This window comes from Homo sapiens, chromosome 16 (assembly GCF_000001405.40).
Source record: "Homo sapiens chromosome 16, GRCh38.p14 Primary Assembly".
Taxonomy (NCBI): Eukaryota; Metazoa; Chordata; class Mammalia; order Primates; family Hominidae; genus Homo; species Homo sapiens.
In genome coordinates, this window is record NC_000016.10 from 415,042 (window position 1) to 436,101 (window position 21,060).

Here is a 21,060-nt window from a genome sequence, read left to right on the forward strand (position 1 = left end):
AGCCACTGAAGAGAGGGACAGCATTCCTTCTGCTGGCCTCACATCCACATTCCTGAGGAAAGATGCAAGTTCACCTTTGGGGCTAGAAATCTGGCTCTTGTGCAATGAACTGTGGTAGGGCCGGGCATGGTGGCTCACGCCTGTAATCCCAGCAATTTGGGAGGCTGAGGCTGGCAAAACACTTGAGCCCAGGAGTTCAAGACCAGCCTGGGCAACAAAATGAGACTCCATCTTAATGAATAAATAAATAAATAAATAAATAAATAAATAAATAATGCCAGGCATGGTGGCTCACACCTGTAATCCCAGCATTTTGGGAGGCCAAGACGGGTGGATCAGGAGTTTGAGAGCAGCCTGGCCAATACAGTGAAACAATATAGTGAAACCCTCTCTCTACTAAAAATACAAAAATTAGCTGGGTGTGGTGGCACTCGCCTGTAATCCCAGCTACTTGGGAGGCTGAGGCGGGAGAATTGCTTGAACCTGGGAGGCGGAGCTTGCAGTGAGCTGAGATGGCAGGACTGCACTCCACCCTGGGTGACAGAGCAAGACTCCATCTCAAAAAAAAAAATTAAAAAAAGCCAGGCATGGTGGTTCAGGCCTGTAATCCTAGCACTTTGGAAGGTCAAGGTCAGTGGATCACTTGAGCCTAGAATTCAAGAGCAGCCTGGGCAACATAGCAAGACCTTGTCTCTATAAAAATAAATAAATAAAAACAAAAACCAGGCTGGGCATGGTGGCTCACGCCTGTAATCCCAATGCTTTGGGAGGCCAAGGCGGGCAGATCACCTGAGGTCAGGAATTTGAGACCAGCCTGGCCAACATGGCGAAAACCCCATCTCTACTAAAAAAATATAAAAATTAGCTGGGCATGGTGGCACGTGCCTGTAGTCCCAGCTACTCACGAGAATTGTTTGAACCCGGGAGGCAGAGGTTGTGGTGAACGGAGATTGCACCACTGCACTCCAGCCTGGGTGACAGAGCGAGACTGTGTCTCAAAATAAATAAATACAAAATAGTGCGTCGGCCAGGTGCGGTGGCTCATGCCTGTAATCCAAGCACTTTGGAAGGCCGAGGCGGGCAGATCACCCGAGGTCAGGAGTTCGAGACCAGCCTGACGGAGGCAGAGGTTGCGGTGAGCCAAGATCACGCCATTGTACTCTAGCCTGGGTGACAAGAGTGAAACTCCGTCTCAAAAAATAATAATAATTAAATAATTAAAAAATAAAGAATAAACAGTGGCTGAAGGTTGGCCTCACCTTATGAATGTGGCCACTCCAACAGACGCTGTGGGCTGGGAGAGAGGCTTCTTCTAGAAAATGTGTCAGCAGACCATCCATCACGGGTTTCTGGCTGGCACTGACCAGTGTTGCCATGACCCACACACACACCCTGCTACTAAGTTCTCAGTGAGTTCCCGAGTTCCTTCCAGTGACCGCATGGGTCTCAGGGCCGCTCTCTGGTGCCAGGGAACCTGGGAAACCTCAAAGGCAGCTGGGAGGTGCCAGACTGCACCTGACAGGTGTTTGTCCAAGCAAGAATGAGAAATATTCGCCAGAAATAAGAAGAATTACCTTTCAGCTCTTCGACCATCACGTGTAACTTGGAAAACTGTTACACAGGGAAGAGGAGAGTGATGAGAACTAGCCCTTCGCTGCTGCTTTGGAAAATGTAGAGGGGCTGAGAAACGAAGCTCTGCATAGCCTCTCCTGCTGGCTCCTCAGGGCCCCTCTGCAGGCTGCGGTTTGGCCTCAGGGAGCACTGAGGGTGCAGAACGGGGGCTCTGGAGGGCTCCAGGCCTGGTGGGAGCCAGGGCAGCCAGGCCATCCCAGGAAGACAGAGCAGGCACCGTAGCCTCATAGTGAGGTGTTAAAATAAGAAAACCATCAAAACTTGGGCTGAGTCAGGAGGAATTCAGTTGTGCCTTATACACTCATGTTCCATTTTTACTCTAAGACATGTACTTTACCAAATTTGAAGGTGAGAATACAAATTCTCCCCCACTGAATAAAATATCAGTAAACACAAGTGAGGCTCTGTGCTCTCAACTGCTGGAGGCCACAAGGGAGAGTGAGACCTGGTCCTAAAGGTGACTTCGCTCTAAGTTTATTTACTGAATATAAAATGTTAATGTAGTTTTCACAGTTGTCTGGCCAGGTGCAGTGGCTCATACCTATAATTCCAGCACTTTTGGAGGCCAAGGCGGTGGATCACTTGAGGTCAGGAGTTCGCGACCAGCCTGACCAACATGGTGAAACTCCATCTCTACTAACAATACAAAAATTAGTCGGGCGTGGTGGTGGACACCTGTAGTCCCAGCTACTCAGGAGGCTGAGGCAGGAGGATCGCTTGAACCCAGGAGGCGTAGGTTGCAGTGAGCCAAGATCGCGCCAGTGCACTCCAGCCTGGGCAACAGAGCGAGACTCCATCCCAAAAAAAAAAAAAAGTTGTCAGTTAAAAATAGTTTGCAGGCAGTTTTTGTTGATAGCTTTATGGATACACAGTTGACACAAGGCAAACCGCACATAGGTAGAGTGTGTAATTTGATGAGGCTGATGCGTCTACGTCGTGAAGCCCTCAGCACTATCCAGGCTGCACGTGTACCTGGTAATCCCTCCCTCTCACCCATCCCTACCCCTTATTTCCCAAGCGACTGCTGATTTGCTCTCTGTTGCTATTTATGTTTTTTATTTTTATTTTTTGAGATGGAGTCTCTGTCACCCAGGCTGGAGTGCCGTGGTGTGATCTCAGCTCACTGAAATCTCTGCCTCCCAGGTTGCCTCAGCCTCCCGAGTAGCTGGGACTACAGGCGTGTGCCACCACGCCAGGGTAATTTTTGTATTTTTAGTAGAGATGGGGTTTTGCCATGTTGGCCAGGCGGGTCTCATATTCCTGACTTCAAGTGATGTGCCTGCCTCGGCCTCCCGAAGTGCGGGGATTACAGCGGTGAGCCACCGCGCCTGCCTGGTGTTTGTATTTTCTAGGATTTTATGTAAGTGGAGTCATAAGGTACGCACTCTTTTTTGTCCGGCTTCTCTCACTGAACCTGATTGCTCCCAGAGTCACCTGTGATGTCGTGTGTGTCAGTAGTGAAATCCTCTTCAGGGTTGAGCCGGGCTCCGCGCCGGGTCCTCCTGGGGGTTGAGCCGTGTTCCGCAGTGTGGATGTGCCAGTTTGTTTATTCACCTGCTGATGAGTACTTGGGTTGCTTGCAGGTTTGGGCTATAACAAGTAAAGCTGCTATGAACATTTGTACAGAAGTGGGTGCATGGACACGTACTTTCATTTCTCCTAGGTACTAGGAGTGGAATGGCTGGGTCATATAAACAATGTATATTTAGTTTTATTTTTTTAATTTTTTTTTTTGAGATGGAGTCTCGCTCTGTCACCCAGGCTAGAGTGCAGTGGCGCGATCTTGGCTCACTGCAACCTCCGCCTCCTGGGTTCCAGTGATTCTCCTGCCTTAGCCTCCTGAGTAGCTGGGATTACAGGCGTGCACCACCACGCCCCGCTAAGTTTTGTATTTTTAGTAGAGACGGGGTTTCACCACTTTGGTCAGGCCGGTCTCAAACTCCTGACCTCGTGATCCACCTGCCTCAGCCTCCCAAGGTGCTGGGATTACAGGCGTGAGCCACCGCGCCCGGCCTGTATATTTAGTTATGTAAGGTATTTGCCTTATTATTCAGCCTTAAAAAAAAGGAGACATTGAGGCTAGGCACGGTGGCTCACACCTGTAATCCCAGCTGTTTGAGAGGCCAAGACGGGGCGGATCACCTGAGGTCAGGAGTTCGAGACCAGCCTGACCAATATGATGAAACCCTGTCTCTACTAAAAATACAAAAATTAGCTGGGCGTGGTAGCAGGTGCCTGTAATCCCAGCTACTCGGGAGGCTGAGACAGGAGAATCTCTTGAACCCAGGAGGCGGAGGTTTCGGTGAGCCGGGATCACACCATTGCATTCCAGCCCGGGAAACGAGCGAAACTGCCATTTGTGACAACGTGGATGAACCTGGAGGACATTATACTAAGTTTTTTTTTGAGACAGAGTCTTGCTCTGTTGCCCAGGCTGGAGTGCAGTAGCGCCACCTTGGCTCACTGCAACCTCTGCCTTCCAGGTTCAAGTGATTCTCCTGCCTCAGCCTCCCAAGTAGCTGGGACTACAGGCACCCACCACCACACCTGGCTAATTTTTTCTATTTTTAGTAGAGACAGGGTTTCGCTGTGTTAGCCAGGATGGTCTTGATCTCCTGACCTCATGATCCACCCGCCTCGGCCTCCCAAAGTGCTAGGATTACAGGTGTGAGCCACAGCGCCCAGCTGCACCCAGCTAATTTTTGTAGTTTTAGTAGAGATGGGGTTTCACCATATTGGCCAGGCTGGTCTTGATCTCCTGACCTCGTGATCCACCCACCTTGGCCTCCCAAAGTGCTGGGATTACAGGCGTGAGCCACCGCACCCGGCCTATGCTAAGTTTTTAAACGTTTTCTTACTTTAGAGAGGGAGTTTTGCCCCGTTGCCCAGGCTGGAGTGCAGGGCTATTCACAGGCACAATCACAGCTCACTACAGCTTCAAATTACTGGACTCCAGCATTATGCTAAGTGAAATAAGCCAGTCAGAGAAAGAAGACTTCATGGTCTCATTTATATGTGGAATCCAGAAAAACCTCTGGGTCTTAAGAGCTCCTCCCACCTCAGTCTCTTGAGTAGCCGGGACTACAGGTGTGCACCACCACACCTGGCTAATGTTTTTTTGTTTGTTTTTTGAACTCCTGGGCTTAAGTGATCCTCCTGCCTCAGCCTCCCAAAGTGCTGGGATTACAGGCATGACCCACTGTGCCCAGTGGAAATGAATGTTATAGATATAGTCAAAGTTGTACTTCACCCTTTCTCTTCTGTCTGTCCTCTTGAATATAATTCTTTTTTCTTTCTTTCTTTTTTTTTTTTTTTTTGAGACAGAGTCTCGCTCTGTTACCCAGGCTGGAGTGCAATGGTGTGATCTCAGCTCACTGCAACCTCCGTCTCCGGGGTTCTAGCAATTCTCCTGCCTCAGCCTCCCCAGTAGCTGGGATTACAGGCATGCGCCACCATGCCTGGCTAATTTTTTGTATTTTTGTAGAGACAGGTTTCAGTATTTTGGCCAGGCTGGTCTTGAACTCCTGACCTCAAGTGATCCACCCCATTGGCCTCCCAAAGTTGGGATTACAGGTGTGAGCCACCGCACACGGCCTCAATGTAATTCTCAAGTATGTTTAGGTATTTTTTACTACAAACGAAAGCATTTGAAAACAAGATAGGTCATTGATCATGTGTTTTTAAACTTAACAAAAATTGGCTAGGCACGTTGGCTCACGCCTGTAATCCTAGCACTTTGGGAAGCCAAGGCGGGCAGATCACCTGAGGTCAGGAGTTCCAGATCAGCCTGGCCGAGATGGTGCAACCCCGTCTCTACGAAAAATACAAAAATTAGCTGGGTGTGGTGGCGGGCACCTGTAATCCCAGCTACTCGGGAGGCTGAGGCAGGAGAATCGCTTGAACCCAGGAGATGGAGGCTGCCGTGAGCTGAGACCGTGCCACTGCACTCCGGCCTGGGCAACAAGAACAGAATTCTGTCTAAAAAAATAAATGAAAAATGGTATTACATAGCATGTACTATCAATTGTGCAGATGTGGTGCACTCACTTAAACTGCTACACTTCACAACAGACAACAGGCTCCACTGAAGCCGTTCGGCTCTTCTTCCAGAGAAGTACAAATCCCCGAAGGAAACAAGGTCTTTCCATCTCCCTGCGGACATGTGCAGTTTCTCCGGCAGGTACTGGAAGGCGGATCCCACACTGGAGTATTCCGACCTTCAGCTGCACGACTGGTGCCAAATCCCCACTCCCTGGTGTCCCCAGACTTACTCTGATTGGTGTCAAGGGCTACACTCACACATTTTCCTGGTGACCAGTGAAGATGAGCATCTTTTTCATGTGTTTACCGGCCACCTGAATTTCCTCTTCTGGAGCTGCTTATTCATATTCTTTCCTCGTTTTTCTATCGGGTTGCTGTTCGTTTACTGTTTTTTGAGAAATTCTTTTGTGTATTCTAGAAATGAATATTTTGTCCATTAAATCCATTCTAACTCTCTCTTCCCAGTTGCTACCCCAAAATTTATATATTGGAGTCCTAACGCCAACGGGATGGTATTTGGAGATGAGGTCTTTGGGAGGTATAACTTAGGGTTAGGGCCGGGCGCGGTGGCTCACGCCTGTAATCCCAGCACTTTGGGATGCCGAGGCGGGTGGATCATGAGCTCAGGAGATCGAGACCATCCTGGTTAACACGGTGAAACCCCGGCTCTAGTAAAAATACAAAACAATTAGCCAGGCATGGTGGCGGGTGCCTGTGGTCCCAGCTACTGGGGAGGCTGAGGCAGGAGAATGGCATGAATCCGGGAGGCAGAGATTGCAGTGAGCTGAGATGGCGCCATTGCACTTCAGCCTGGACGACAGAGCAAGACTCCGTCTCAAAAAAAAATAATAATAATAATAATTAGGGTTAGATACGGTCAGCAAGGTGGGGCCCTCACGATGGGAACAGTGCCCTTATTAGAAGAGACAGTCTTTTTTTTTCTTTTTTCTTTTTTTGAGACGGAGTTTCACTCTTGCTGCCCAGGCTGGAGTGCCATGGCACAATCTCGATTCACTGCAACCTCCGCCTCCCAGGTTCTAGTGATTCTCCTGCCTCAGCCTCCCAAGTAGCTGGGATTACAGGCATGCACCACCATGCCTGGCTAATTTTTTGTATTTTTAGTAGAGATGGGGTTTCACCATGGCAAGCCTGGTCTTGAACTCCTGACCTCAGGTAATCCACCCGCATCGGTCTCCCAGAGTGCTGGGATTACAGGCGTGAGGCACCGTGCCCAGCCTTATTTTTATTTTATTGTTTTCCTTGAGATGGAGTTTCCCTCTTGTTGCCCAGGCTGGAGTGCAATGGTGGGATCTTGGCTCACTGCAACCTCCACCTCCCGGGTTCAAGTATTCTCCTGCCTCAGCCTCCCAGGTAGCTGGGATTACAGGACACGCCACCACGCTCAGCTAGTTTTTGTATTTTTAGTAGAGACAGGGTTTTACCATGTTGGCCAGGCTAGTCTCGAACTCCTGACCTCAGGTTATCCACCCGCCTTGGCCTCCTAAAGTGTTGGGATTACAGGCGTGAGCCATTACGCCCGCCTTTTTTTTTTTTTTGAGATAGTCTCGCTCTGTTGCCCAGGCTGGAGTGTAGTGGCTGGATCTCAGCTCATTGCAACCTCTGCCTCCCAGGCTCAAGTGATTACCCTGTTCAGCCTCCTGAGTAGCTGGGATTACACGCACCCGCCACCGCCCCCGGATAATTTTTTTTCTTTTTTTTTGAGACAGAGTCTCACTCCATCACCCAGGCTGCAGTACAGTGGTGTGATCTTGACTCACTGCAACCTCCACCTCCCGGGTTCAAGCAATTCTTTGCCTCAGCCTCCTGAGTAGCTGGGATTACAGGTGCCCGCCACCACGGCCGGCTAATATATACATATATTTTTTAGGTGGAGTCTCGCTCTGTCGCCAGGCTGGAGTGCAGTGGTGCGATCTTCGCTCACTGCAACCTCTGCCTCCCAGGTTCAAGCGATTCTCCTCCCTCAGGCTCCCGAGTAGCTGGGACTACAGGTGGGTGCCACCACACCCGGCTAATTTTTGTATTTTTAGTAGAGACAGGGTTTCACCATGTTTGCCAGGATGTTTTCGATCTCTTGACCTTGTGATCCGCCCACCTTGCCTCCCAAAGTGCTGGGATTATAGGCTGAGCAACCGCGCCCGGCCTAAATTTTCTATTTTTTAGTAGATACGGGGTTTCACCATCTTGGCCAGGCTGGTCTTGAACTCCTGACCTCGTGATCCACCCGCCTCGGCCTCCCAAAGTGCTGGAATTACAGGCATGAGCTCCCACGCCCAGCCCAAAAGAGACAATCTTTCTCCAACATGTGAGGACAGAGTGAGAAGATGGAGGCTATGCTTTGAATGTTTATACCCTCCAAAACGCATGTTGAGGCCAAGTGTGGTGACTCATGCCAATAATCCCAGCACTTTGGGAGGCCGAGGTGGGCGGATCACTTGAGGTCAGGAGTTTGAGACCAGCTTGACCAACATGGTGAAACCCCGGTCTCTACTAAAAATACAAAAAATTAGCCGGCCTTGGTGGCATACGCCTGTAATCCCAGCTACTCAGGAGGCTGAGGTAGGGGAATCACTTGAACCCGGGAGGCGGAGGTTGCAGTGACCAGAGATCGCGCCATTGCACTCCAGCCTGGGCGACAGAGTGAGACTCCATATCAAAAAAAAAAAAAAGATAATAAGGTGCTGCAGATCTGTGGTCTCAGCTACTGGAGAGGCTGAGGTGGGAGGATCTCTCTTCTATTTTTATTTTTTATTTTGGAGACGGAGTCTTGCTCTATCATCCAGGCTGGAGTGCAATGGTGCAATCTTGGCTCGCTGCAAGCTCTGCCTCCCGGGTTCACGCCTTTCTCCTGCCTCAGCCTCCCAAATAGCTGGGACTACAGGTGCCTGCCACCACACCTGGCTAATTTTTGTTTTTTTGTATTTTTAGTAGAGACGGGGTTTCACCGTGTTAGCCAGGATGGTCTCCATTTTCTGACCTCGTGATCCGCCCGCCTCAGCCTCCCACAGTCCTGGGATTACAGGCATGAGCTACCACACCTGGCCTAAGGTGGGAGGATCTCTTGAGCCTAGGAGGTTGAGGCTGCCGTGAGCTATGGTCGCACCACTGCACTGCAGCCTGGGCAACAGAGCAAAACCCTGTCTCGGGGAAAAAAAAGAAAAGAAAAGAAAAGAAGGAACTGCTACAGCCCACAGCCTACAAAGGGGACACAGATAGTAGCTCTGAACAGCAGACGGATAGACGGGAACTTGTCCCTTTAGTCTTTCATGAACAGCCTCTAACTGGTCCAGGCAGGGAGGTGCAGGCTTCCAGGCTGTGGTTCCATGGAGGACACCAGCCGGGCACGCAATGGACGTTTTCCAGCCCTAGCACAGACAGAGCGTGCGGGCCCCTGCTCTCAGAAAGCCAGCCTTCTGCCTCTGGCAGCGCCGGCACATAAAAGCAGAGGGAGCCTGCTGTCTCTGCCTCGCCCACACTAACACCCCTATTTAGAAAGGTTGACACATCACTATCACTGCTTCTGAAAATTTTATCCGGCCGAAGGCATCAGCCCAAATTTGAATTCTTGCCAAAGCTGCTGGTGATTTCGTTCTTTGAATGCAGTATCTTCCTCATGAACACGTACAGCTCTTACAAGAAAATGAGAATACGGTTTGGGGAGGAGGATCCCTCACATTCCTTTTCCTAATGCCAGCCTCGCGAAGTCTGGTCCCATGTACCCTGGGATTCTGCCACGGAAGATGACTCACTTAATTAACACGCTGCTCCTGACCGTACACTTGGAAGCAGAGGTTCCGTTCCTTTGGTTCTTGCCAAAGCTGCTTACGAAACCATATCTTGTGTTGGTGCCCATGGTGTGTAAAAATACAAGTTCATCATTTCCCTGATACAAATTATGACAGGCTAAATTTAGTGCCTCACCTGTCCTAACTAGCTTTCCCACCATCATGCCTGCCGCCGGGCTGTGGTCCTTTCTGAGGTCCCGTGTCCCTCTGAGGACAGGGACACCCAGACACAGAGGTCAGTTGTCAGACGCGGCCACGGTGCTCGGGAGGCTGGCTGCAGACGGGCGATTCACCCTGGGTGTCTTCTTGAGTCTTATTTTTTGTAGAGACGAGGTCTCGCTTTGGTGCTCAGGCTGGTCTCAATCTCCTGGGCGCAAGCGATCCTCCCGCTTGGGCGTGGGCCAGCGCGCCCGTCCCAACGCTGGGAGTCCCGGAGATCTTGGTCACAGGCTTAAGGGAAAGGCCTAGCGCGTGGCCGCGCGTGCCTCTGGTTTCAAGGGACATGGACTGCGTGTCTGGGGCCCCTCCGCACTCCGTGTCAGACCCTGCGTCCCCCGGGTCCGCGCGGGACCCGGGCAGGGCGTCGCCCTCTGCGGCGTCTGCGCCCCGCGAACCCTGGGGCACCTGCAACCCCTGGGCCGCGGAGCCAGGCGTGCGCCGCCTCCTGGTCTCATCAACGTGAGAACGCTTTACCCCCGAAGAGCTCAGCTCCTAGGGGGCTATGTCCCTTTGCGTCTCTCGCTCGCCAGGCGGTGCCGTTTACTCGACCGCACCATGCGTGGGTAGCGGTCGCGCCCGCTGGTAGCTGTGCGGCGGGAACACGTTCTAAGTAAGGCCTGACTCCGCGCGCCTCTTGCCAGGGACGTCACGTCACGCCTCCACTCGCAGCCTCGGAGCACCCCCGCGTCCCGCGCCCGAAGCTCGGGACCCCCGCTCTGGCGAAACGAGGAATATGACATACAGCAAAACACCCCTTCGCGGCCGCTGCACTGCCGCGACACACCCGGCGCCTGCCTCTACAGCAAGCCGGCGAGGGGCTGGGACCCCGCCGGGACGTGCTGACGTCAGGCCCGACGGGGGGCGGGGCCTGGGCGGCGGCGGCGTTAGTTCTCCGGGTACCTCAGGCGCCTCAGCCTCCTTAGTCTCCTCATCCTGCTTCACAGGCTCCGCGGCCTCCGGCCTCCTCGGCCCCCGTCCCCCGGCCTCCTCGGCCCCCGTCCCCCGCCATCCGCCGCCCGGATCCTCGCCGCCCTCCCTAGGCCGCCCCGCCGCCATGGGCCTGCGCCCGCCGCGCCGCCGGGCCGAGGGCAGCTGAGGCGCGGTGCGAAGATGGGCGAGGACAGAGCAGGGCCCGAGCGCCAGCCCCAGCAGCCCGGGCGCCCCGCGCGCGCCCGCCCGCGCCGCCGAGGGGATGCCCGCGCCCGCCGCCGCGCCCTGAGCGCCTTTGTCTGCCGCCCGCGCCCTTCCGCACCACTAGCCTCTCGGGAGCATGGCGTCGGCCCCGCCGGCCTCGCCCCCGGGCTCGGAGCCGCCGGGGCCCGACCCGGAGCCGGGCGGGCCGGACGGGCCGGGGGCGGCACAACTGGCTCCGGGCCCTGCGGAGCTACGCCTCGGAGCGCCCGTCGGCGGCCCCGACCCGCAGTCCCCGGGCCTGGATGAGCCTGCGCCCGGGGCCGCTGCAGATGGCGGGGCGCGTTGGAGCGCCGGGCCGGCCCCGGGGCTGGAGGGAGGCCCGCGAGACCCCGGGCCGTCCGCCCCGCCGCCGCGCTCCGGCCCGCGGGGGCAGCTTGCGAGCCCCGACGCCCCGGGCCCAGGGCCGCGCTCCGAAGCGCCGCTTCCAGAACTCGACCCGTTGTTCTCCTGGACTGAGGAGCCCGAGGAGTGTGGCCCCGCGAGCTGCCCGGAGAGCGCGCCTTTCCGCTTGCAGGGGTCCAGCAGCAGCCACCGAGCGCGGGGCGAGGTCGACGTCTTCTCTCCCTTCCCCGCGCCCACGGCGGGCGAGCTGGCGCTGGAGCAAGGTCCCGGGTCCCCGCCGCAGCCCTCGGACCTCAGCCAGACCCACCCCCTTCCGAGCGAGCCCGTGGGGAGTCAGGAGGACGGCCCCCGCCTCCGAGCCGTGTTCGATGCCCTGGACGGGGATGGGGACGGTTTCGTCCGCATCGAGGACTTCATCCAGTTTGCTACGGTCTACGGGGCAGAGCAGGTACGGAGCGGCCCGGGCCGGGGCGTGGGAACTGGGCAGGTGCGCGCTGGCCGGCGGGGTTGATGTGGGACCGGTCGACGCTGCCCCTGGAGTCGGGAAAGGCACTGTCAAGACCTGACGGTCCTGCTTTTTCTGCTTATTCACCACTTCGGCCCTGGATTTCTGGTTGAATTGCGCTGGAGTCCCTCTTCCCTTCTTAAAAGGAGGTTCTATTCTGGGGAGTCAGTTTCTTCCCCTCCCCCCAGCGCCTCGTCAGCTGGATCTTACCGAGGTCAGCTCCTCGCCTGGGGACACCCCCCCAGGGGGCCTGATCGCCACCCCCCCAGGGTGCCTGATCGACGTGCCCCTGAATGAAGAAGTTCCCCGCGATTCCCCCACCCGAGGGCCCAGATACTGCTCGGCTGAATTCACCCAAGTTCTAGCCGCAGAGGCCAGGCTGCCCAGACGCCTTGAGATCCTACTGATAGACACCTATTTTGAGTACAATTACTTTACTGTGTGTGGTTGACATCTTTTCTACTTAGATTTCATCTTTTATTTGGGAGACAGTCAATGCTTGTAGAGAGTCCTGGAATTAAGAATTTTTACTTTGGTGCCTTTGGGGAGGAAGGCAATGAGCCTCGGAGCTTGTTGGCAAATGCAGAAGTCTAGCAGAACTCCGTTAGGGCCACGTCCACTCTCGTAGGAGAGGTGAAATGCGTGGACAGGCACTACGCACAGTACAGTGTGGAAGGGGTCCACGCGGTCCTCAGGGCACCTGCTCCTGGGGGAAAGGTGGGCCCCAAGATGCAGTTGTTCCTGTCTACCTCAGCACTTAATAAAGTTTAAGTGGAGATAACAGCAGGGCCGTGTGTGTTCTGCCAATAACCCGGTGGACATCAAATAATACCAGTGCTCACTTTTAAATATTTTACTTAGCAGGAAATCCCTAAGGTGCATCTGTCAATTTTTTGTATTTTGACTTCTCACACATGCAGACATCTGGTAAGTGGGTGTTCAAGTACATATGCATGTTTAAGCCAAGAGGTCTGTAAGAAAAGAGGTAAAATTGGCACACTGCTATTTAGGGTGTCAGTCATAACATTAAGAACCTTGATGGTCGGGCGCGGTGGCTCATGCCTGTAATCCCAGCACTTTAGGAGGCCGAGGCGGGCGGATCACGAGGTCAGGAGATTGAGACCATCCTGGCTAATATGGTGAAACCCCGTCTCCACTAAAAAATACAAAAAAATTAGTCGGGCGTGGTGGCGGGCACCTGTACTCCTAGCTACTCGGGAGGCTGAGGCAGGAGAATGGCGTGAACCCGGGAGGCGGAGCTTGCAGTGAGCGGAGATCGCGCCACTGCACTCCAGCCTGGGCGACAGAGCGAGACTTCGTCTCAAAAAAAAAAAACAGCAACAAAACAAAAAACACAGGGTCCTGATAAATCAGGGTTCCTTGCTGAGTTCACATTAAGAAGATGTGCAGACAGGTGCGTGCGGGGCAGCCTGCAATGCTCGCAAGCTTAGCTCCGGTTGGGATATTGTCAGGGTAGTTTTCCACCTACACTAATGGGCAGTGAAATATGTGACTGATACTTTCCTGTATGGTCAGCGTGGATGGTGGTTGCTGGTCCAGGTGTTTTGCTGCGTTTCCTTCTTGCCCCTGGGCTGGAGAGCACCTTGAGCTCCCTTGGTTGCTGTTGGCTACTGCGCTGTCTCTTCTCCCAAACATACTCTTGCTTCAGTACAGCAAAGAAGTTAGGAGAGTACCACATTTGCTCCTTGTTACCATAACCCAACTCTTGATAGAGAACTTCTGTGAGGCTCAGGATGTTTCCACTGGATCATACCACAGTTCTCTGAGATAGTAGGTAAGCAGGATTCATCCCCACTTTACAGGTAAGAAACTGGAAACCCAGAAAGGTCAGATAGCTCTCCCAAGGTCTCACAGGAGTAGAACTAGGTCTTTTGGCCCTTAGACCTTAGATGCCTCTTCTTAGATGTGGTGGCTCACAATATCCCTATTGTGATAATATCTTACTGACTTTCATACAATTCTTTTTATTTGAGAAACATCTTTTGTCATAACCTCCCTTAATGATCACAATGGGAAAAACTTTGTGTTGCTATTTGGGGCTGAGCTTTCTTGTCATCACAAAGTAGAAATGAGACAAAATTCTTCACTCTGAATTCCAAGAGCTCTTGATGAAATTCGAAGGTTGGGGGCAAGGGCTGGATGACTTGGGATTTGGTGAGGATGGGGAAGTGGAAGGGATCTCCTGTGGTATTACTCCTTGTCTGTTCTTCTAGACGGCTTAGGAAGAAGCAATGTTGGGTGTGATCTGAGTGCCTGGACTTGGGCCGGCTTCCTGGGATGGAGGAGAGCTCTTGATTTCTTAAAGCTAAGTTACTGTTTGGCAACAGATAATTTACAGGGTAAAGAAAGGTTGATTTTCATGTTATGTAACCCTGTAGCCATTGCTCAGTTTTAGCAGTCTTGGTTCATCTGTAAACTCACCACTCACTACCCCCAGATGATTTTTGAAGTGGGTTCCTGACATTATATCATTTCTTCCATAAATGCTTCAGTATATATTTCCAAAAGATACCGATTCTTTTAAAGACATTAATGATTTTTTTAAAAACGCTAGGGAACAGTTCAGATTAACTGGATAACAGCAATAAAGGTCATAAGTTTTTGTACTTTCTACCTTGAGATTTCAAAATATTGAGCACATGAGAGACTCTTAGTCCAGTCACATTACTGTCCTTGATGATAACAACTAGATTATCTTAATTTTTTTTTTTTTTTGAGATGGAGTCTCGCCTGCTCTGTCGCCCAGGCTGGAGTGCAATGGTGTGATCTCGGCTCACTGCAACCTCTGCCTCCCGGGTTCAAGCGATTCTCCTGCTTCAGCCTCCCGAGTAGCTGGGATTACCGGTGCCCGTCACCACACCTGGCTATTTTTTGTATTTTTAGTAGAGACGGTTTTGCCATGTTGGCCAGGCTGGTCTTGAACTCTTGACCTCAGGTGATCCACCCGCCTCGGCCTCCCAAAGTGCTGGGATTACAGGCATGAGCCACTGTGCCCGGCCAAGTATCTTAATTTTTATCAAATTTTCAGAGGTAGCATATTGAGTATCTTCTATGTAATCTGTTTATGAAGGTAGCATTTTAAATTATTTAAATGGATTATCTGAATTTTTAATAGAAGCAGCTCCTGTTTATAATACAGATGGCTTTTGTGTCCCTGTTTCTTTAGCAATGTCATGGTGTGTTTGGATCTAATTACGTCATCTGGTGATAGATCAGGTGTAGTGTAATATAACACAGTGTTGTGTTAGCAGAAATCAGCACATGAAAGGAGCAAGTGGAGCTTTCTGGTTATATTTTTTTGAAACAGGAATTTATAGTCAGATGTGTCCAGGAATTAGGTATGAAGTTGGAATAGGTGATTTTTAAGGCTTCAACCATCTCTGGAGATTGACATGACCCCTTCATACTGAGAGGACTGATGCTTTTGTATTTACTGCCACCTATCATGAAGCAGAGATTGTAAAATAAATTCTAAGAGTGTTGTGAGAAAGGATTACTTTAATTTTGTTTTGTTTTTAAAGATTATAACTGTAATTTACATGTTATTTTTACAGTCACTTAAGCAGTTGCGTTTTAATAGCCACTGATTCTTTTCAGAGAATGTCCTTCAGTAACCTTGGTAGGCATTGTCTGTCTTCAGTACTTGCAGAAATAGGCTGCCGAAGGAAGTGTCGATGCTCAGATCTCCCTACGTTTTTTTATTCCTGCACCGCTAATGGTGGCAGTAGGAAGTTCCTAGGGACATTTGACTGCACCTTTTTGTTCGTTTGTTTTGAGACAGGATCTCACTCTGTCACCCAGTCTGAAGTGCAGTGGCAAGATCTCAGCTCACTGCAACCTCCACCTCCTGGGCTCAAGCAGTCCTCTCATCTTAGCCTCCTGAGTAGCTGGGACTATAGGCAGGCATGACCATGCTCCGCTAATTTAAAAAAATTGGCTGGGTGCAGTGGCTCACGCCTGTAATCCCAGCATTTTGGGAGGCTGAGGCGGGCAGATCATGAGGTCAGGAGACGGTGAAACCCCGTCTCTACTAAAAATACAAACATTTTTAAAAATTATTTTTGTAGAGATGAAGTATAGTATAGTGATACTGCCCAGGCATATTATTGAACTCCCAGGCTCAAGCGACCGTCCTCGGGCCTCAGCCTCTCAAAGTTCTGGGATTGCAGGCATGAGCCGTAGCGCCCAGCCTGGCATCGCCTTTTATTTGCCCTGTATCATTTCCAGTCTCTTAGCCTTGAATTTGAGTGAAAGTGTGTGTGAATGAGAGTGAGCATGTGTGTGTGTGAGCAGTTACATATGTGAGCTGGTGTGTGTGTGTGTAATATGTGTGTGCGGTGAGATGTGTGGGAGCATGTGTCTGCAGGATCAGGGATGTGTGTATGTGGGAGTGGGATATTTGTGTGTAAGTGGCATATTATGTATGTGTGTGAGCAGGTGAGTGTATGTATTCTGGGTCTACATGCTGACTGAATTGCTGAAAGGCAAATGAAGCTTGGGTTGTATAAAACAGAAAATGACCAATAATCCCACTATCCTGAGAAAAATAACATTCCCATTATTTTACTACATTTCTTTTCAGACTTTTTTTTTTTTTTTGAAATAGAGTCTTGCTCTCTTGCCCATGCTGGAGTGCAGTGGCACAATCTCAGTTCACTGCAACCTCCACCACGTGGGTTCAAGCGATTGTCTTGCCTGAGTCTCCTGAGTAGCTTGGACTACAGGCGTGCAACGCCTGGCTAATTTTTATATTTTTAGTAGAGACGGGGTTTCGCCGTGTTGACTAGGCTGGTCTCGAACACCAGACCTCAAGTGATCCACCTGCCTCAGCCTCCCAAAGTGTTGGGATTACAGATGTGAGCCACCGCACCTGGCCCAGACCTTTTTTAACACAGACATAGACACACAGGTGACTGTCTATAAAAGTACACAATTGAGATCATATTGGGGTAGAAGCTAAATTTTTTTTTTTTTTTGAGATGGAGTCTCGCTCTGTCACCCAGGCTGGAGTGCAGTGGCGTGATCTTGGCTCGCTGCAAGCTCCGCCTCCCGGGTTTATGCCATTCTCCTGCCTCAGCCTCCTGAGTAGCTGGGACTACAGGCGCCCGCCACCCCTCCCGGCTAATTTTTTTGTATTTTTATTAGAGATGAGGTTTCACCGTGTTAGCCAGTATGGTCTTGATCTCCTGACCGCATGATCCGCCCACCTCGGCCTCCCAAAGTGCTGGGATGATAGGCATGAGCTATGGCGCCCAGTGAAGCTAAATTATTTTTATAGATGTTCATTGTTTTAAAAGAAACTGGCCTGGCGCGGTAACTCACACCTGTCATCCCAACACTTTGGGAGGCCAAGGCGGGTGGATCATCTGAGATCAGGAGACCAGCCTGGCCAACATGGTGAAACCCCATCTCTACTAAAAATACAAAAATTAGCTGGGTGTGGTGGTAGGCGCCTATAATCCCAGGTACTTCAGAGGTCGAGGCAGGAGAATCGCTTGAACCTGGGAGGCAGAGGTTGCAGTGAGCTGAGATCTTGCCATTGCACTCCAGCCTGGACGACAAGGGTGAAACTGTCTCGAAAAACTAAAAAGAAACTAAAACTAGTAGGTAAAATACTAGTAGATAAAATAAGAAAAATAAGGAGCCCTTGTAATCCCCCCATCCATTAATATCATTAAGAGATAATTAAATATTTAATATGTAAATTAAAATGTATGTAATACATACTTGATTATAGATAAATGTTATAATTTGCATGCATGTTGCTTTGAATCTGCTTTTTGACCTGGTTTTTTTTTTTTTTTTGTGTGTGTGTGTGTGTGACAGGGTCTCGCTCTGTGGCCCAGGCTGGAGTTCAGTGGTACGATCTCGGCTCAGTGCAGTCTCTGCCTCCCGGGTTCAAGCAATTCTCCTGCCTCAGACTCCCTCAGCCACTTAGCTGGGATTACAGGCGCCTGCCACCACTCCGGCTAAATTTTTGTATTTTTAATAGAGATGGGGTTTTGTCACGTTGGCCAGGCTGGTCTCAAACTCTTGACCTCGTGATCCACCCGCCTTGGCCTCCCAAAGTGCTGGGATTACAGGCATGAGCCATTGCCCCTAGCCTGAGCTGTTTCTTTTTAATTGATAGAAATATTTGTACATATTCATGGGATGGGTACATGTGGTATTTTGTTACAGGCATACACTGTAATGATCAAGTTGGGGTGTCTGTCACCTCCATATTTATCTTTTTTTTTTTTTTTTTTTTTTTGAGACATAGTCTCTGTCTCTTGCCCAGGCTGGAGTGCAGTGGCGCGATCTCAGCTCGCTGCAAGCTCTGCCTCCCGGGTTGATGCCATTCTCCTGCCTCAGCCTCCTGATAGCTGGGATTACAGGTACATGCCAGCATGCCCAGCTAATTTTTGTATTTTTACTAGAGACAGGGTTTCACCATGTTGGCCAGGCTGGTCTCGAACTCCTGACCTGGTGATCCGCCCACCTGGGCCTCCCAAAGTACTGGGATTACAGGCGTGAGCCACCGCTCATTGCATATTTCTAACCATTAACCGTGCTCTTTACCCTCCTGATGCTTCCCAGCCTCTGATATCAATCGCTCTATTCTCTACCTCCATTAGATCCACTTTTCTAGCTCCCACATAAGAGTAAAAACGTGATATTTGTCTTTCTCTGCCTGTCTTACTTGACTTCACATAATGACCTCCATTTCCTTCCACGTTGCTGCAAATGACATGATTTCATTTTTTTACGTGGCCAAATAGTACTCCAGGCCGGATGCGGTGGCTCACGCCTGTAATCTCAGCACTTTGGAAGGCCAAGGCGGGCGGATCACGAGGTCAGGAGATCGAGACCATCCTAGCTAACACGGTGAAACCCTGTCTCTACTAAAAATACAAAAAAAAAAAAAATTAGCTGGGTGTGGTTGCGGGCGCCTGTAGACCCACCTACTTGGGAGGCTGAGGCAGGAGAATGGCGTGAACCTGGGAGGTGGAGCTTGCAGTGAGCCGAGATCGTGCCACTGCACTCCAGTCTGGGTGACAGAGCGAGACTCTGTCTCAAAAAAAAAAAAAAAAAGTACTCCATTGTGTATCTATATTACATTTTCTTTATCCATTCAACTGTTGATGGACACTTAGATTGATTCCATATCTTTGCTATTGAGAACAGTGCTGCAGTAAACATGGGGTGCAGGCATCCCTGTGGTATATGGATTTCCTTTCCTTTGGATAAATCTCAGTAGTGGGATTGCTGGATTGTATAGTAGTTGACCTAAATTTTTTGAAATTGAAGGTCTCTGATATCAGATGTATATTTATTTATTTAAAAATTTCTTTATTTTTTGAGACAGAGTTCACTATTGTTGGCTAGGCTGGAGTGCAATGGCACGATTTTAGGTCACTGCAACCTTCGCCTCCTGGGTTCAAGCAATTCTCCTGCCTCAGCCTCCTTAGTAGCTGGGATTACAAGCATGTGCCACCATGCTCGGCTAATTTTTTGTATTTTTAGTAGAGGCGGGGTTTCGCCATGTTAGCCCAGGCTGGTCTCGCGCTCCTGACCTCAAGTGATCTGCGTGCCGCAGCCTCCCAAAGTGCTGGGATTACAAGCGTGAGCCACTGCACCCTGCCAGATGTATACTTTATTTTTTTGATATAGAGTCTCACTCTGTTGCCCAGGCTGGAGTGCAGTGGTGCAATCACTGGTCACTGCAGCCTTGACCTCCCAGGCTCAGGTGGTCCTCCCATCTCAGCCTCCCAGGTAGCTGGGACTACAGGTACGTGTTACCACACCTGCCTAATTTTTCTATTTTTTATAGAGACAGGGTTTTGCCATGTTGATCTCCAACTCCTGGGCTCAAGTGATCTTCCCACCTTGGCCTCCCAAAGTGCTAGGATTACAAGCATGAGCCACTGGCCTGGCAGATGTATACTTTAATGGAAACCTAAGGTTTACTTGTCCCCAGGAAGATTCAGAATTGTTAAGGATGGCCGGACGCAGTGGCTCACACCTGTAATCCCAGCACTTTGGGAAGCCGAGGTGGGCAGATCACTTGATGTCAGGAGTTTAAGACCAGCTGGCCAACATGGTAAAATCTAAAGTCTACTGTCTACTAAAAATACAAGAATTAGACCAGGCGCGGTGGCTCACGCCTGTAATCCCAGCACTTTGGGAGGCCAAGGCAGGTGGATCACGAGGTCAAGAGATCGAGACTAGCCTAACCAACATGGTGAAACCCCGTCTCTACGAAAAATACAAAAAATTAGCCGGGCGTAGTGGCGGGTGCCTATAGTCCCAGCTACTCGGGAGGCTGAGGCAGGAGAATTGCTTGAAGCTCAGAGGTGGAGGTTGCAGTGAGTCGAGATCTTGCCACTGCACTCCAGCCTGGGCGACAGAGCGAGACTCCGTCTCAAAAAAAAAAAAAAAAAGTTAAGGACTATTCTGGTTCCAGTTTAGGATCTAACATACAGGAAGAGTTTAGTTCTGTGTAGATGGTGCAGACAAGGTTGTTAAGGGCACCAGGCTTATGGATTGCTTCTCTTCCAAGCACTTATTTTGTTTAAATTCTGGAAACATTCAATGTAAACATTAGTTATATCAGACAAAAGGATTAGGCATCCACTTAAGTCTATTATGTAGCTCATAAAAGTGGTAATTATAAAGGCTCCAAATTTACTTAGATTAGCACTTCTAAGTTATTATGATAGAGTGATGTACTAAATATACATCACACTTACAACCAGGTAGAATTGAAAGAAGTTTTGAAGAAATATTAAAAGTGCTTTTAGTTTTGTGTTGGGAGATATGAGTGTGTAGGAGAGGGCGTATGGTGGGAAGGGTTTTATTTGAGGTATTGGCTATATTTCCTGTTGTGTTACTGATTTTGATTATTTTGAAAAGTAGTGCCTTTGCACATAGCATAGAGTTCAAACAGTACAGAAGGGAATCTAGTAAAAAAAATCATTACAGTTGGTAGAAATAAAAAAATTTAAGTAAACCCTAAAGATAAAATATTTACATACTTTGACTTCATTAAGGTTCATATAAAATATACAAAATACATCTAAAGAAACTTGGATTTTCTAGTAAATTAAAGAACTAGATAGAACATTGAATTTGCATCTGCAGATGCTTTATGAAGATGGGCTATTTTTACTGATATTTGGAGAAATGCATATTAGAAAATGCCTGTAATTCCTGCTTCTTGGAGAAGGAAAAAAAGAGATGGGATCATTGGCCAGGCACGGTGACTCACACCTGTAATCCCAGCACTTTGGGAGGCCGACGCCGGCGACTCACAAGGTCAGG

The 21,060-nt window shown here is 50.2% G+C and overlaps 1 protein-coding gene across 6 annotated transcripts in view; it reads left to right on the forward strand.

Moving 5' to 3' along the window:
- The first annotated feature begins 10,607 nt into the window (after nt 1-10,607).
- The window catches only part of RAB11FIP3 (RAB11 family interacting protein 3), a 97,363-nt gene continuing 86,910 nt past the window's right edge, over nt 10,608-21,060 (forward strand). For all 6 annotated transcript variants that reach the window (NM_001370401.1, NM_014700.4, XM_017023907.2 and 3 more), the window contains exon 1: nt 10,608-11,679. In NM_001370401.1, coding sequence (NP_001357330.1) covers nt 10,966-11,679 — 714 coding nt within the window. In that variant the 5' untranslated portion in view covers nt 10,608-10,965. The remainder of the gene's footprint in view (nt 11,680-21,060) is intronic.